The 16,876-nt window shown below is 41.2% G+C and overlaps 2 protein-coding genes and 1 long non-coding RNA gene across 15 annotated transcripts in view, besides 7 other annotated features; 2 read left to right on the forward strand and 1 right to left on the reverse strand.

Moving 5' to 3' along the window:
• The window catches only part of ANXA4 (annexin A4), a 183,305-nt gene extending 170,404 nt beyond the window's left edge, over nucleotides 1-12,901 (forward strand). For all 11 annotated transcript variants that reach the window (XM_047444083.1, XM_017003943.2, XM_024452835.2 and 8 more), the window contains 5 exons: nucleotides 1,890-1,983; nucleotides 4,388-4,483; nucleotides 5,069-5,127; nucleotides 6,488-6,610; nucleotides 11,245-12,901. In XM_047444083.1, coding sequence (XP_047300039.1) covers nucleotides 1,890-1,983; nucleotides 4,388-4,483; nucleotides 5,069-5,127; nucleotides 6,488-6,610; nucleotides 11,245-11,304 — 432 coding nt within the window. In that variant the 3' untranslated portion in view covers nucleotides 11,305-12,901. The remainder of the gene's footprint in view (nucleotides 1-1,889; nucleotides 1,984-4,387; nucleotides 4,484-5,068; nucleotides 5,128-6,487; nucleotides 6,611-11,244) is intronic.
• On the reverse strand, nucleotides 11,531-15,320 carry LOC124906021 (uncharacterized). The gene is made up of 2 exons (XR_007086846.1): nucleotides 13,803-15,320; nucleotides 11,531-12,567 (listed from the first exon to the last, which is right to left on the reverse strand). It is a non-coding gene; the product is annotated as an uncharacterized LOC124906021 (long non-coding RNA).
• Nucleotides 14,485-15,406: an enhancer, noted in NCBI's record as "H3K27ac hESC enhancer chr2:70055828-70056749 (GRCh37/hg19 assembly coordinates)". NCBI's record gives its function as "activates a minimal SCP1, AML or CMV promoter by ChIP-STARR-seq in naive H9 embryonic stem cells {active_cell/tissue: H9 hESC(naive)}" and the evidence as "EXISTENCE:reporter gene assay evidence [ECO:0000049][PMID:30033119]".
• Nucleotides 14,485-16,327: a biological region, named in NCBI's record as "H3K27ac hESC enhancers GRCh37_chr2:70055828-70056749 and GRCh37_chr2:70056750-70057670".
• Nucleotides 14,801-14,890: an enhancer, noted in NCBI's record as "active region_15978". NCBI's record gives its function as "activates an Ori minimal core promoter by ATAC-STARR-seq in GM12878 lymphoblastoid cells {active_cell/tissue: GM12878}" and the evidence as "EXISTENCE:reporter gene assay evidence [ECO:0000049][PMID:35858748]".
• Nucleotides 15,301-15,530: a silencer, noted in NCBI's record as "silent region_11600". NCBI's record gives its function as "represses an Ori minimal core promoter by ATAC-STARR-seq in GM12878 lymphoblastoid cells {active_cell/tissue: GM12878}" and the evidence as "EXISTENCE:reporter gene assay evidence [ECO:0000049][PMID:35858748]".
• Nucleotides 15,407-16,327: an enhancer, noted in NCBI's record as "H3K27ac hESC enhancer chr2:70056750-70057670 (GRCh37/hg19 assembly coordinates)". NCBI's record gives its function as "activates a minimal SCP1, AML or CMV promoter by ChIP-STARR-seq in naive H9 embryonic stem cells {active_cell/tissue: H9 hESC(naive)}" and the evidence as "EXISTENCE:reporter gene assay evidence [ECO:0000049][PMID:30033119]".
• Nucleotides 15,449-16,876, forward strand: part of GMCL1 (germ cell-less 1, spermatogenesis associated) — a 51,725-nt gene continuing 50,297 nt past the window's right edge. For all 3 annotated transcript variants that reach the window (XR_007079574.1, NM_178439.5, XM_011533033.3), the window contains exon 1: nucleotides 15,449-15,941. Coding sequence is in view for 2 of the 3 variants with exons in the window: in NM_178439.5 (NP_848526.1) it covers nucleotides 15,682-15,941 (260 nt within the window). In the remaining variant the exon portion in view is untranslated. The remainder of the gene's footprint in view (nucleotides 15,942-16,876) is intronic.
• Nucleotides 15,911-15,990: a silencer, noted in NCBI's record as "silent region_11601". NCBI's record gives its function as "represses an Ori minimal core promoter by ATAC-STARR-seq in GM12878 lymphoblastoid cells {active_cell/tissue: GM12878}" and the evidence as "EXISTENCE:reporter gene assay evidence [ECO:0000049][PMID:35858748]".
• Nucleotides 15,938-16,113: a silencer, noted in NCBI's record as "fragment chr2:70057281-70057456 (GRCh37/hg19 assembly coordinates)". NCBI's record gives its function as "represses an EF-1alpha promoter that drives an FKBP-Casp9 reporter gene in an ReSE screen in phorbol 12-myristate 13-acetate-treated (for megakaryocytic differentiation) K562 erythroleukemia cells {active_cell/tissue: K562(+PMA)}" and the evidence as "EXISTENCE:reporter gene assay evidence [ECO:0000049][PMID:32094911]".

Genomic DNA, 16,876 nt, shown 5'->3' on the forward strand with positions numbered 1-16,876 from the left:
AGCACGGCAGCTGGGTTTCAAGAAGGAGCACCCAGAAAGCAAGCATTCCAATAGAAACAATGGCAGTTGCATGATTGTTTATGATCTAGCCTCAGAGATCAGTGTCACTTCCACTAACCTGTATTTTATTCTTTTTTTTTTTTTTTTTTTTTGAGATAGGGTCTTGCTCTGTCTCCCAGGCTGTTGTGCAGTGGCATGATCTCGGCCCACTGCAACCTTCACCTCCCAGGCTCAAGTGATCCTCCCACCTCAGCCTCCTGAGTAGCTGGACTACAGGCGTGTGCCATCATGCCTGGCTAAGTTTTAAATATTTTTTTGGTAGAGGTGGGGTTTTGCCATATTGCCCAGGCTGGTCTCAAACTCCTGGGCTCAAGCAACCTATCTGCCTTGGCCTTCCAAAGTGCTATGATTACAGGCATGAGCCACCGTGCCCAGCCCACAACTATGCTTTATTAATTAAAGCAATGTATTAGTCAGAATTCTTAAGAGGAACAGAACCAATAGAGAGAGAGAGCGAGAGAGACACAGAGGGGTGTGTGTGTGTGTGTGTGTGTGTGTGTGTGTGTGTGTGTGTGTGTGTGTGAGAGAAAGAGAGAGAGGATGGAGTTGGGCAAGTACCAGGATCTTCAGAGGGAATCAGCAAGCTGGAGATGCAGGCCAGCCTATGGTTTTGTTCCAGTCTGAGTCCAAAGGCCTGAGAACTAGGAGCAGTTCCCATCTGAAGGCCAGCAGGCTGGAAACCCATGAAGAGCTGATGTTCCAGTTCAAGTCCAAAGGCAGGAAAAAAACTGATGTCCTAGCTCAAGGCAGTCAGGCAGGAGGAGTCCCTCTCACTCTTGGGAAGGTCAGCCCTCTTCTTGAAAACAAAAGCTTTCAGCTGATTGTATGAGGGCCCCTCCTCCATATTGGATCATCCAAAAACCCTCACAGAAACACCCAGAATAATGTTTGAGCAAAAATCTGGGTAACCCATGGCTCAGTCAAGTTGACATAAAATAAATTGTCACAAGCCTGTTGAGATTCAAGTTTCAGAAGTGCTGAATAAGATGAACTCTTTTGAATTAGGTGAATTAGATGAACGCTTTCAGCTTTAAATTTTTATGATTATGTGAATTGACTCTAAAGCAGTGAGGGAATCAGAGAAAGAAGTGAAAAAATGGGGGAGTATATGGAGGTAAGCCCAATGAGCCACAATATGTGTGAGTTAAGATCTTTTTGAGAAATGTAACAGGCAAGCTGCTTATTAAAAATGAACAGTAATTCTGATTGAGCAATAATGTAGTTAAATTGAGCAGAATGAGTTTCCTATATTCCTACCTGGTTGGAATGTAAGCAATTGGCAATGGGTCCCTGGTTCTACTGTGAGACCTGTAGCCTCAGGAAAATCACAGATCATTCTAGAGCAGGGCTATCCAATAGAACTCCCCGCAGTGATGAGAACATTCCACATCTGCACTGTCCTGTATGGGTGACTACCGGCTACCTGTAGCCGCTGGGTACTTGAAATGAGGCCAATGTGATTGAAGAGCTGAATTTTAAATTGTATTTAATTTCAATTAACATTTAAACAGCCACATGTGGTTAGTGGCAACTGTAGGGGACAGCCCAAATCTAGGGCATTTCTTTTAGCTCTTAAGATAGAACCATGTAGTCTCCAGCTAGGGAACTGCTAGTGTTTGCCCTGACTCCCAGGGGGGTATGACAGGGTCCCAACAGCCTTATGCCTGAGGAAGGATCCTGAGTCATTTCCACTCACCACTACCATTTCCAACCCCATCACCAACAAAATAAAACTAAGCCAGCTCAGCTCTTTGAGCTTCTGGAAATATTTGCCTGTGTCCTGGCACATCGTTTTTGGAATTTTAGACCTGTGCTTTGTTTGGCTTCAGGACCTGTATGAGGCTGGAGAGAAGAAATGGGGGACAGATGAGGTGAAATTTCTAACTGTTCTCTGTTCCCGGAACCGAAATCACCTGTTGCATGGTAAGGCACTTACTTCATTTCCCAAAGAAAAGGAGTGAAAGATAGCAAAAACTATATTGCCCATAAGTAGTTGATAACCTTCCTCCTTCAGTTGGTACAAAGAACTGATTGTACCCAAGTGTCTTAGATTCTCACCCTGGAAATGTATTAGTCCAATGATGTATATGAAAGCTAATTTCTGAAAGATTAATTATGAATAATTAGAAAAAGTGCATGTAGTCATAGAAGTTTGGCATTCTTGTTTCTAGGAAACTGACCTTCACAGTCAGTCCTTTTTCTAAAGTAGCCCCAGTATTTTCATTCTAATGTAGTTACATATGAAAGTAATCTGTAGTAGATCAGGTAGCAATAAAATAGCAATGTTGGTTGATATTTATTCCTGTGTAATATCCAAGCTGTAAAGCTAATACAAGTGATTTCTTTAGGGGTTATGTTGTATAAGATGAATAGTGGATAATTTCAAATTTGATATGTTTCTAATTTGTTTCTGATAAATATAAACTTTGTAATGTGATTTTAACTTATTTGGGGGAAAGATACTAGACAATTTTAGAATATTTGCTGTCAGGTTCATATTCTTTTAAACAAGCAAGTAAGGATATAATAAGATATTTCATCTTTTATACGAGTTCTTTAGATCTTTAAGTACATTATAATTTTATAAACCCACCCACCATACCCTTTTAATCACACACACTGATTTGCAAAGCTTGTGGGAAATTTGAGAATGAGTTTGCTAAATTGAAAACATAAAGCAATTGAGAAGTACAACACATTCTGAAGTTGTAATTATTTCAGGTTTTTCACAGTGACAAAAAAACAGGTGATTACTCCTGTTAATCAATATCCCGGGCTACCATCAGGTACACAAACTTCTGACTCAGCTTCTTTCTTCACTTCCTTCCCTTGCCTGGTTACAAATAACAGGAATCTCCCCCTGGTGGTGTTTTCCAAGAACTGCAGGTCCTCAGAAGCCGATTTAGTGCATAAATGCATTTGCAAGAATTTTCACTTCTGGGTACAAGTCAATAGTTAGGCAGTTATGAAATATCTGTTTGTAAGCCACTGGGAGAAAATATTTTAAGCACTGTTTGGACTAGGAAAACTTCATAATTGTCTTACCAACCAACAATAATGGTGAGATTTCATAATAACTACCGTTTTGTTAATAATGTTCTATTTTCTAGGTGCAGTGTTAAGCATTTTATAAGCATTGTTTCTTGCAACACTCAATGGAGCAGTAATTATTTTCCCCATTTTACAGTGGAGAAAACTGAGGCTTAGAAAATGTGTCAATTAAGTTCTTTGATTCCAAGCCACACACACTGACTTCAATTTAAGTAAGAAAAGATGAAATAATATAGAATGGCACAGGAGGGAAAATGGAAAATACTGGTAGCTCACAGATTTGAACAGACAGCTGAACACCTTCAGGAAGAACAGAAATCAAGGCAGTTCTGGGGGTCTCAGTAGAAGGGAATAATGGATTTTATTTCTAAAGCAGAGTTTCTGAAGTTCGTTTTCTATTAAAAATGCTAAATATTGACCCCCTACTTCAGACTGGCTGAATTAGAATCTCTGAGTGTGACACCCAGGAAGTTTAATAGGTTTCTCTGAGGGTAAAGATGATGCAGTGCTTTTGGCCATCCCCGTGAGCTGCTCAATTAAAAAGTTCCCAGGAGAGAGTCTAACGGGTCCTGACTGGGTCAACTGCTCACGTGTTTGACAGAGGTTGTGGTGTATGTTGTTGGGTATGGTGTCCCTTGATTGACAGCCCTGTTAAAATCACATTGATGGAAGTGAGGCAGCACCCCAAAGAAGGCGATGGTGAGAAGATAAAATAGATACCTGCTCTAAGAAGTTTCCAGAAGGAGACAGCAAGAGAGGGGAACATATTCACCACATTCAAAAATACTTGGCAAAAAACAACAACAAATGTAATTATGTTTAAGTATTTTAAAAGATGCAACCAGCTGTTATTAACTGTGACTCAGTTCTGAAGCAGTTGAATTGTTCTAGTTTTGATGAGCCAAAAGGGAGATGACAGGGAGGTGATTGCCAAGGACAAAAACACAAAAAGACACATTCTGCTTATTAAGGAAACAATGAGAAAGGAAAGCAAAGCTCCCCAGAGGCCATCTCCATTTTATGTGTGAGGGTCCCAGATAAGGGAAAGGACTTGACTGATGTCCTCCAAACATCACAGCATTTCTTCCTCCTTATCTGGGGCCCATTCCACTCTGCACATCCCTCCTGGCTGCTTGCCCACATTACTAATTAGTTTCCTCCTGAAATATGCCAAAGAATAAATAGTGTAGGCTAGTTAAAAATGCTCATTCTCTCCATAAATTTTAGTTTCCTCTGTTTTTTCTTCCCAATAATACTATTTTGTTATTGTCTGCAGTGTTTGATGAATACAAAAGGATATCACAGAAGGATATTGAACAGAGTATTAAATCTGAAACATCTGGTAGCTTTGAAGATGCTCTGCTGGCTATAGGTAAGCTGGTAGGGGGAGTAGAGAAACAAATGTTTATAGATTTTCCTTCTCATTATCAGTTTGCAATATGGGGATATAGAATTATTTTTAGAGATAAAAGTTGTTTATCATGAATCACTCATGTTACATTCCAGATTTTTAAACAAGAAATATTATATACAACCTGATTGCTATTGTGCCATGTGGTTTATATATTTTATATCTTCTGTGCCTTTGTATGTCCTATGTGAAAGGTAATAATGTGCAGATATACAGGCTGCAGCTTGCAAGTCTGTGAATGGTTAGAACTAGTAACTGTCTCATATGGCAGATACAGTAATCCTTATTTTGAAATGAAATACCACCCTTTGCTTTGATAGACTTTATCAATTACTTCTCCAGGAACTTGATGATAAATTGAGGGTACTTTCTATCTGTGAAAATACATAGAGCATCGCCTATGTTCATGAAACATTGCTTGGCTAAAATTTCCCTGGCAAAGCAAATATTGATACCTTGTAGAAACAGAGGAAACAACTGTCACTTTTCTTTTTTCATGGGTCTTATCTGTAATCTTTTCATTTCTTCTTTTTTTTTCTTTGACAGTAAAGTGCATGAGGAACAAATCTGCATATTTTGCTGAAAAGCTCTATAAATCGATGAAGGTAAATGGCCTTATTTTCAGCATCTAAATGAATTTGAGTTATCTTGTGTCCACCTTCTTAAGCTTACTTATATCCCCTATCCAAACTTTGCTCTGAAAGATCCAATTCAATTCATCAAATACTTCAGTGAGTGCCTGCTAATAATAATACTAGGTGATATTTACTGAGTACTTAGGATGTATGGATCACTGTTTTTAATAGATTAATTATATCCCCACAACAGCTCTATCAGGCTGGTACTATTACTAACCTCCAATTTACAGATGAGGAAACTGAGGCATAGAAAGGATATGCAGTTTGCCCAAGATTCTCAGTGAGGAAGTATGGAGCAAGAATGCCAGGTGTTTACCTGGCATTCTAGCTCCAGAGCCCGTATTCCTAACCCTCCATCGTACTCTGCAGGCTGAGAATCACAGGAGGTGCAGGGAAGGTCAAAATGTAGTCTTTGGCCAGGTGCGGTGGCTCACGCCTGTAATCCCAGCACTTTGGGAGGCTGAGGCGGGTGGATTACTTGAGGTCAGGAGTTCAAGACCAGCCTGGCCGTCATGGTGAAATCCCCGTCTCTACAAAAATGCAAAAATTAGTCAGGTATGGTGGCTCATGCCTATAATCCCATCTGCTTGGGAGGCTGAGGCAGGAGAATCACTGGAACCCAGGAGGCAGAGGTTGCAGTGAGCTGAAATTGCACTACTGCACTCCAGCCTAGGCAACACAGTGAGACTCTGTCTCAAAAAAGAAAAAAAAAAAAAGCAAAACAAAACAACAACAACAAAAATGTAGACCTTGCTCTCAAAGAATGTCTAGCCTAGGCAAGTATGTGCAAAACACCAATTATAACAAGACAGAATGTAAGACAGTAGTTGAGGATCCAAACATTGTAGAAACACAGAGGAAAGGGTTTTTTTTTTTTTCAATATTTGTTTTTTGAGGTGGAGAATCTGCAAAGAATATATAAACAGTTGGTATATTTGAGCAGGACCTTCCAAATGTAGAAGTTTTACATCAGAGGATTTCATGTGGTGAAGGGAAGGGGTGATAAGGCTGGGGAGGGAAGGATAATACTCCATGAGAAGGAATCGTAGGTGAGCCAGGTGGCAGGGTATGTCTGGACAGCACAGGTTATGGCTCTAGAAAAGCAGGGAACGGCATCCTGTGGTCAGAACATAGAGCATTGGAAAAGTGAGTTGTGGAGAGCCTTGAATACCATGATAAAGAGTGAGGATATTCCTCAGGCCTGCCAAGTAGTGGAGCAAAGGACATCGTCAGCACAGTCATCTCTAGTCTTGCTTTGATAGACTAAAGAAGACACTGAAAAACAGCTAGGTTTTTGTATATGTTTGGATTTCGTTTTCTTCCTTAGGGCTTGGGCACCGATGATAACACCCTCATCAGAGTGATGGTTTCTCGAGCAGAAATTGACATGTTGGATATCCGGGCACACTTCAAGAGACTCTATGGAAAGTCTCTGTACTCGTTCATCAAGGTAGGTCACAGCAGCCTAAGTCCAGAGTAAAGGATCCAGAAAAGGACCCCTCTGACCTTGGCATTTAGCACTTGTTGTCCCCCTCTTCTTGGCATATATCATTTCCCTTAAAGATTATGCTCCCGATATTTCCAGTCTCTCCTCTTTCACACAGATATTTAAACCTTTGCCAGGATACAAGCTGGAAATTTGCCTTCTAAATACAGTAATTATTTTATGTTGACCTCAGACAAAGATTACATTTTAATGAATACTTTTAAGCACACAATTTCCTCGTCTACCTAATTATGAGAGAAGATAAACAACTGAATCCAGAGTCCTAGGCAGGGGCCAGCTGAGGTCTGCTGGGAATATGGGAAAGCATTTTAGCTATCCTGAATTACTGTTCTTTACCAGGCACCAGACTTCTAGGAGTCCTAAGAGGGCATGGTAGTGGTGAGAAATGGTTCACCTCCCTCAAAGCCAGGCATTCCTGGGATTTTGTTTCTTGAGGATGCTGGAAGAGTCTCATGGACATGAAAGTGAGACAGATTTCCCTAGGAGCTAAGGTTGCCTGCACTGCAAGCTTCAAATCAGCGTTCGATCTGTGAACTAAATATTCTGAATCCTACTCAAAGCTTGGAGAGGTGTGACAATTAGGTGATTTTAACTGCAGATTTTTTTTTTTAGATGGAGTCTCACTCTGTCGCCCAGGCTGGAGTGTAGTGGCGCAATCTCCACTCACTGCAACCTCCACCTCCTAGGTTCAAGTGATCCTCCTGCCTCAGCCTCCTGAGTAGCTGGGACTACAGGCATGAGCTTTGTATTTTTTGTAGAAATGGCGTTTCACCATGTTGGCCAGGCTAGTCTTGAACTCCTGACCTCAAGTGATCCACCCGTCTCGGCCTCCCAAAGTGCTGGGATTACAGGTGTGAGCCACCATGCCCCACCAAGCTGTGGATTTTGTTACTACGTCTACAAGGCATGCAGGAACTTGTTTCTATTTCTGACTAGGCTATGAGGTAACTTGATTTTGCAGAGCTGAACTATATAACTAGTTTAAGATTCAAGGATGACGGTAAGTGAAGTTATGGGAAAATATACTACAAACAAGAAAAAAACAAAATAACCCCAGGAAATGACAAATGATTTATGGAGGATATGGAGAGACTAGAACTCTTGTGCACTGTTGGTAGGAATATAAAGCGGTGCAGCCACTGTGAAAAACAGTCTGTTACGAAACTTTAAGCACCAAACTTCTTCAAAAAGTTTAATATAGACCAGGCATCGTGGCTCATGCCTGTAATCCCAGCACTTTGGGAGGCCGAGACAGGTGGATCACTTGAGCCCGGGAGTTCGAGACCAGCCTAGCCAACATAGTGAGACCCTGTCTCTACAAAATCAACAAAAATTAGCCGGGTGTGGTGGTGCACGCCTGTAGTCCCAGCTACTCAGGAGGCTGAGGTGGGATGATCACCTGAGGCTGGGGAGGTCGAGGCTGCAGTGAGCCATGACTGTACCACTTCAAGACTCCAGCCTGAGTAAAGACCCATCCCAAAAAAGAAAAAGAAAAAATTTTAACATAGAATGACCATATGAGCCAGCAATTCCACTCTCAGTTATATACTTAAATGAAAACAGGAACCCAAACAGCTAGTTGTACATCAACATAAACATTATTAACAATAGGCACAAGGTGGAAACAACCTAAATATCCATCAACAGATGACTGGATAAACAAAATGTATATACATACATAAAAAGCAATGATATTCAATGGTACGCTGTCATGAAAAAAAGGAATGACATTTTTGATACGTGAATGAACCTTGAAAATATACTACGTGCAATAAATCAGACACAAACGGACAAATATTGTATGATTCTGCTTTATGAAATATGTAGAATAGGTAGATTCATAGGGACAGAAAGTAGATTAGAGGTTACCAGCAATTTGGAGGGAGAGGAAAGAATGGGAGTTATTGGTTAGTGGGTACAGAGTTTCTGTTTGGGGTGATGAAAGGGTTTTAGAAATAGACAGTGATGATGGTTACATAACATTGTAAAAGTAACTAGTGCCACTTGAAAATGGTTAAAATGACAAATTATATATATATATTTTTTTACCACAAGAAAAAGTCTCTGAATTTGAATAAAATTGTTTAATGAAATGTGAAAAGAATAGATGAAGTATAATACTTCATCATAGCATTATTTATATTATTTACATGGCTTTATGTTATTTATATTTATATCAATAATATGGTATTATAGTATATAATTTATTATATATTGTTATTACTATTAATCAATAGGGAATAACAAATTATGGAAAATCCATACAATATAATACTATACCAACACTAAAATGATTGAGTACAAATATATTGATTGGCTTGGGAAGAAAACACTATAATCTAGTGTATATATGTCTGTATATATAAATATGTAAATATATGTGTGTATACACACACACACCACTAGAAAAGATTAAAAATAAAGAATACATTACTCATTCAATAATAGTTGTCAAAAGAAATGAAAAAAGCAGAATAGAAGCATAAAATATGTAAATAATAGAAAAAAATGACAAAAGATAAAAATAAAAGTTATAAAAATAAATAAACTCTCAGGTTAGGTAAAAATATAAAATCCAACTTCATGCTGTTTATAAGAAACAACTAAAATACAGTGACATGTAAAAAGCTTAAAGAAAAACACCAGGGAAAGAAAGAAAGCGGACATACAAGAAAGAAAGCGGAGATTATGCTATTAATAAAAAGAAGAATTTAGGGAGAAAAAGTATTAAATAGGAGAAAGTGGATCACGTTATACTGACAAAGGCAACAATTCACAGCAAAGATTAAACTGTTATGAAACTTTCAGTACCAAATTATATTGCATTCAAATGTATAAATAAGAAACTTGAGGCTCCAGAAGAAAACATATAATGGAATTAGTATGCTAGCGAGAGACTTTAATACATCCTATGCTTTGGCACATCAATGAGGCAAAGTATAAACAAGGATATATTAAGATTGAGCTTAACAGATACTTATTAAACTTTGAACCCTATATACAGAGATTCCATCTTTTCTAGTCCCCACGAATGACTAATAAAAATTAATCTAGGCCAGGTGCAGTGGCTCACACCTGTAATCCCAGCATTCTGGGAAGCTGAGGTGGGAGGATCACTTGAGCCCAGGAGTTCGAAGCTGCAGTGAGCTATGACCACACCACTGTTCTCCAGCCTGGGTGATAGAGCAAGACCCTGTCTCTAAAAATATAATAAAAATAAATAAATAAAATTAAAGATTAAAAAATTAATCAATTATTAGACCACAAAAATTTATATGCAGAAATTATAGAACCTTTCCGGAAGACTGTTTTGTAACCCATATCAAAATGTTTAAGAAAACAGGCTGGGTGCGGTGGCTCACACCTGTAATCCTAGTACTTTGGGAGGCCAAGGTGAGTGGATCACTTGAGGTCAGGACTTCAAGACCAGCCTGGCCAACATGGTGAAACCCTGTCTCTACTAAAAAAATAAAAATTAGCCAGGCGTGGTGGTGTGTACCTGTAGTGCCAGCTACGCAGGCAGCTGAGGCAGGAGAATCACTTGAACCTGGGAGGCGGAGGTCGCAGTGAGCCAGGATTGCACCATTGCACTCTAGCCTGGGCCACAGAACGAGACTCCGTCTCAGAAAAAAAAAAAAAAAAAGGTTTAAGAAAATGCATTTAGTCCAGTAATTCCCATTTTATGAAAATTTATCCAGAATAAATCATTAAGAAAATATACAAAAATGTAACTACAATATGCTTATTGAAGCAGTGTTTATAATAGTGAAAAATTGAAACAACGTAAATATCCAACAATAGGGAGAGGGAGGATGTGATCAAATAAATTATTTTACCTGCATACAATGGGATATTCTGTAACCATTAAATAATGTTGTAGAATAATATTTAACAAAATAGGGCCCTAGCACGGTTGCTCACGCCTGTAATCCCAGCACTTTTTGGGAGGCCAAGGCTGGCAGATCATGAGATCAGGAGATCAAGACCATCCTGGCTAACATGGTGAAACCCCATTTCTACTAAAAATACAAAAACAAAATTAGCCGGGCATGGTGGCAGGCGCCTGTAGTCCCAGCTACTCAGGAGGCTGACGCAGAAGAATGGCGTGAACCCGGGAGGCAGAGCTTGCAGTGAGTCAAGATGGCGCCACTGCACTCCAGCCTGGGTGACAGAACAAGACTCTGTCTCAAAAAAAAAAAAAAAAAAAAAAAACCACAAACAAAAATGAACAAAATAGGGAAATAGGCTATATTGTTAAGTGAAAAAGCAGAACACAGAATACTACTGTTCTATCACATTGGGTATCTAGATACATAGAAAAAAGACTGGAAGGACATTCACACATCAAAACGGTAAGAATAGTAGTCTCTAGATGATGGAATAATGGTTGATTTTTGTGTTCTTTTTTGTCTTTATTTTCTACACTGAATAAGTATTACCTTCGTAATAAAAAATAACAAAAAAAATTTAAAGCTAAGAAAAATCCAGCCAAGCTTGAAAAAGTTGGCTTAGATGACTTTGAACTGTGTGTTTCATTTTAAAATCTATTTATCTAACTTTGCTTCCCTATCGAACAGGGTGACACATCTGGAGACTACAGGAAAGTACTGCTTGTTCTCTGTGGAGGAGATGATTAAAATAAAAATCCCAGAAGGACAGGAGGATTCTCAACACTTTGAATTTTTTTAACTTCATTTTTCTACACTGCTATTATCATTATCTCAGAATGCTTATTTCCAATTAAAACGCCTACAGCTGCCTCCTAGAATATAGACTGTCTGTATTATTATTCACCTATAATTAGTCATTATGATGCTTTAAAGCTGTACTTGCATTTCAAAGCTTATAAGATATAAATGGAGATTTTAAAGTAGAAATAAATATGTATTCCATGTTTTTAAAAGATTACTTTCTACTTTGTGTTTCACAGACATTGAATATATTAAATTATTCCATATTTTCTTTTCAGTGAAAAATTTTTTAAATGGAAGACTGTTCTAAAATCACTTTTTTCCCTAATCCAATTTTTAGAGTGGCTAGTAGTTTCTTCATTTGAAATTGTAAGCATCCGGTCAGTAAGAATGCCCATCCAGTTTTCTATATTTCATAGTCAAAGCCTTGAAAGCATCTACAAATCTCTTTTTTTAGGTTTTGTCCATAGCATCAGTTGATCCTTACTAAGTTTTTCATGGGAGACTTCCTTCATCACATCTTATGTTGAAATCACTTTCTGTAGTCAAAGTATACCAAAACCAATTTATCTGAACTAAATTCTAAAGTATGGTTATACAAACCATATACATCTGGTTACCAAACATAAATGCTGAACATTCCATATTATTATAGTTAATGTCTTAATCCAGCTTGCAAGTGAATGGAAAAAAAAATAAGCTTCAAACTAGGTATTCTGGGAATGATGTAATGCTCTGAATTTAGTATGATATAAAGAAAACTTTTTTGTGCTAAAAATACTTTTTAAAATCAATTTTGTTGATTGTAGTAATTTCTATTTGCACTGTGCCTTTCAACTCCAGAAACATTCTGAAGATGTACTTGGATTTAATTAAAAAGTTCACTTTGTAAGAACGTGGAAAAATAATTTTAATTTAAAAATGGTGTTTTTAGGCCGGGGGCGGGGGCTCACGCCAGTAATCCCAACACTTTGGGAGGCCAAGGCGGGTGGATCACCTAAGGTCAGGAGTTCAAGACTAGCCTGGCCAACATGGAGAAACTGCATCTCTACTAAAAATATAAAAATTAGCCGGGTGTGGTGGCTGGTGCCTGTAATCCCAGCCACTCGGAGGCTGAGTCAGGGAGAACTGCTTGAACCCAGGAGGCAGGAGGCAAAGGTTGCAGTGAGCCGAGATCACGCCAGCCTGGGCGACAGAGCGAGAATCCATCTAAAAAAAAAAAAAAAAAAAGTGTCTTTAAAGTGAGGTATAGTCTTTCTCTGATCCACTTTTCACCTTCTGAGGTTTTTCATCTTGGCCCCTGAAAGGAGCTATTTTTGAAGGACTTGTGTTACTCAGTTTCTACAGGAATTACAAGATAAGAAAAAAAAAATCATATTTAGTCTTATGCGTGCCTACTGGCTAATGTTCACATATGCCAAACACTACTCAATAACATAAAATAATGTATGAACTTATTCTCTGGAAATGAGTGATGCCCTCTGCTCTAAGTAGACCATTTATATTAAATATCATAAATGTATAAAGGACATTCATATTCTTATAGTGGGAATACTTGCCTTTTTTGTTGATTTTATAGCATCCATTGTATTTTGGTGAGTGAAATAATAAGAATTTTTTAGTTTAGTGTTGTTTATTATAAAAGCTACAGCTACTGGTAGAAGCTACTTATGTGAATATTTAGTCACTCCAGTTACTTACAGGAAATAATACTACCACTTCAATGCCTTCCCAGAAGACCACAGAATCTCCACATCAGCTTTGTCTTTGGAAGCATGGTGATTTTTTTGGTAGAAGTTTTATCTTTAAATGATATGTAGCTTAGCCAAAATTTTAAAACAAATAGCATTGATTCACCAGAAGATTTCTAGAAGGTGGGATAAAGTCACCCTGGACGAATGTTTGTCATATTGAATTAGCATGACTTTGAGATATAATTATGTTTGTTTTTCCCTCCCACTGTCCACTTACATTTATTCAGTGGGCAGTTCTTCCCCTTCTTCAGATGTAAATTCAGATAGAGTCATGACTTTTCTGTTCACTCTTAGGTTTTAAAGTCCTACTGTGTAGTCCCTTAAGGTCATAAAACAGTGTCATTTTAGTAAGTAATATATCCAGTCAAAATTGCAAGCTTGATTTACAGTTGATGCTTCTTCCCTCACTCACCTCTGGCCTATTGCAAGTAGGAAGCTGGTTTCTGGGGAAAGGGAGACCATGGGCTTCTCTTCTTTTTCCACCTAGGTTTCCTTCAATGTTCTCCCCCTGCCCCAACCTACCATGTCTGGGTTGTAGCAAAGAAGAGAGTTAAGGGGAGCAGGAAAGTTGTTACCTGACTGTCATTGCTGTGGTGGTAGAGGATCAGCCCTATGTGACCCTGACAGACTAAAGTTGATTCTTGTGGGCATTCTTGTGGGTTCCTTTGTCAACCTCATCACGCTACTCACCTGAGGTTCCTCTGGCAAGGCAAATGTGTACTCCTTTTTCAGCCTCTAGGAATTTGGTGACTCTTTGAGGTTCTCAGTGCTGAAGTTCATTGCCTTCCTCCCAGGCCTGTTGGGCAGGACCTAAGCTGTCTCATGGTGGTCCACATCTGCTCCATGGGAAACACCTGCACGTTCTTTGTGCTGGCAAATTCTGTGTATGCAAGCTGATCCCTCTGCAGCCATTATTCTCCGCCTCCCACCTCCACCCCAAGCTGCCTCGGCTAGCCTCTCTCGGTTCAGATTTCTCATGCATGAATCAGACATTAGTCCACGGGGACCCTCAAACTACGTATACTGCCAATGGGAGTCTAAATTGGTACCTTGATGCAATCAACCCAGAGAGCAATTTGGTAATAGCTAACAAAGTTGCAGATTTCGCAGCAAATTCACTTTTGGGAATCTGCTTGGTGAATCCATTGCACATGATGTTCATTGCTGCTCTGTAAGGCCGTTAAAGTAGAAATAACCTCTCTCACTAAGGAATGTAAAAACAAATATGGGTCAGTCATACAATGAGCAGTGAAAATTATCTAGCGATTGACCAAATGGATAAATCTTGAGAGTATAATTTTGAGAGAGGAGAAAGGTGCACAATGAGAGGTACAACTATGATTCCATTCCATGATATGTCTAAACATGCAAAAGAAAATATTATTTATGGGTATGCATATAAGGACATGCATGGACATGATATACAACATTCTCAGCACAGTGATTGCCACTGGGGAGGGAGACAGAATGAGATGGAGGAGGTACGCAGGGGCTTCTGCCTATATGTATTGTTCTATTTAAAAAAGAATGAATCATTGATTACACCTCAATAAAGCTGGGAGGAAAAAAGAATGAAAGCAAGTCTGATAAAATTTCAAGCTAGTGGTCGGTCCACAGGAATCTGTATTACTCTATTTGAAATATTTTCATTATTTTACTTAAAAAGTAACAGAAGGGAGTCAGGGAATGAACGCTGGCTGTCCGGAGTCCATCACAAGAGCTGCTACTACTCCAAGCAGACACTAGTAAATTTTGCTAGGGCCTCCTGAAGGCACTTTTGAGTCCAGACAGTCATGGTGCCAGACCCTATTCGGACATCCCACTGGCACTTGAGAGGAAAGGAAAGGAGTGCCGGGAACGTTCCCATAACTTAACGGGTTCCATTCACGTCTACAGCAGGGGAGGGCTCATGTTAAGGAAGCCCAGGAATCCAGCATATCGCCTCATCCTAGGGCCCCCTCTCACAGGAGGCCACGCCCAAGCAAGCAGAGCGTGGCCCCAGCAAGCGCCGAGCTCCCGCAAGGAGACCAAATAGCTTCGGGGTTTTGCCACTAGCTTAGCACAGGCCCATAAGCACCGGGGACTCAAGGCACCTTTGTAGAAACAATGAGTGACTGGAGTCCCAGGTCTTGCCACTACAGAGGCGCGTATGAACCACGGTTTAACACTACGTCTACGCCGAAGTTCGGGTTAGTCAGAGGCCACGCCCACCGCAGGCCCGAAAACACCAGCCTGCACTGGCGCGCCGGATTGTGCGCAGGCTCCACCTGCCACGCACGCACGCCTTGCCCCGCCCCTTCCGGAGGCTCGCCGTACGCATGCGCCCTCCGTCCCGCGCTTTGTTGCGAAAGCGAGGGGGCGAGGTGCTGCGGTGCTAGAGCGCGGCGCGACCGGACGCTGCGGGCGGGGAAGAGGATGGAGACTGTGGCGTCCGCTGCAACGGTTGGGGCTGCGCGTGAGAAGGTGGCGGTGTAGGCACCTGCGCTCGGGGAAGGCTGGCGGCGGCGGCCGAGCCATGGCGGGAGACCCCCTTCTCTGGGCTCCCTGAAGTCTCGGGGAGCCGTGACCCATGGGATCGTTGAGCAGCCGGGTGCTGCGCCAGCCAAGACCAGCCCTTGCCCAGCAGGCGCAGGGTGCCAGGGCGGGGGGCTCGGCCCGGAGGCCGGACACTGGAGACGATGCGGCGGGCCACGGATTCTGTTACTGTGCGGGCAGCCACAAGCGCAAGCGGAGCAGCGGGTCCTTCTGCTACTGTCACCCTGACTCGGAGACGGACGAGGATGAGGAGGAGGGGGACGAGCAGCAGCGGCTCCTCAACACCCCTCGAAGGTACGTGGGGGCACGCACCCGCGCGGACCCGGACCCGCACCTGTTGGGCCTGGGGCCGAGCCGGCGCCTCGTGCGCTTGCGGGGTGCAGCGCTCCCCAGCCTATGGAGAGGGGACGTGCCCTTGACAGGGTGAATGTGGAAGCCGGCCCGATGCGGGGCGGACTGGGGAGCGCCTTGGGAGACGCCAGGTGTTCCGCATTTTCAACCACAGACGCTTCCAGGGTGTTGTTACAGCCCCAAGATGAGGATGAGAAACGCCAAGCCCGAGCTCGCGTCTCGTTAAACCTTAGAGACGCCCGGCTGGCTGGCCTTCCCAGTCCACCTTTGCCCTCTCAAGTGGGTAGCCGCAGAGTAAGTTGTTTTGCATCCGGTTGCCTTAGTACAGACACTAAATGTAATCTCTGAAATAGGCACTCTTATTGTCGCCCACTCAGTGGAGGGTAAGTAATTGCACACAGGAGTTCTTGTTAATTGTAAAGGTGAAGTTTATCAATAGTGTACATTTGTTCCTAACTAGGAACAGAGTCTGTGCAAGTTTCTAGTAGTTGATGAAGTCGTTGACCGTGGATGTACTGTATGTAGGGCGGTGCTGCTGCAGCTTGTTTAACCCCTTTTTTTTTTTTTTTTGGATGAGTTGAAAGATGGAATATTGACTTGTGACCTGGAATGTAGTTTATAGGTAGAATATATGCTTACACAAACAATTTGGTTTTTCTGCTTTTGTTTTTAAAGGTTATTTGGTAGGGTCACACATGAAATTTTTTAAATGATTTCTTTTTCTTTTTGAGACAGAGCCTTGCTCTGTCACTCAGGCCGGAGTGCAGTGGTGCGATCTCAACTCACTGCAACCTCCACCTCCTGGTTCAAGCGATTCTTGTGCCTCAGCCTCCCGAGTAGCTGGGACTACCGGCGCGCACCACCACGCCTGGCTAATG

This window comes from Homo sapiens, chromosome 2 (genome assembly GCF_000001405.40).
Source record: "Homo sapiens chromosome 2, GRCh38.p14 Primary Assembly".
Classification (NCBI taxonomy): Eukaryota; Metazoa; Chordata; class Mammalia; order Primates; family Hominidae; genus Homo; species Homo sapiens.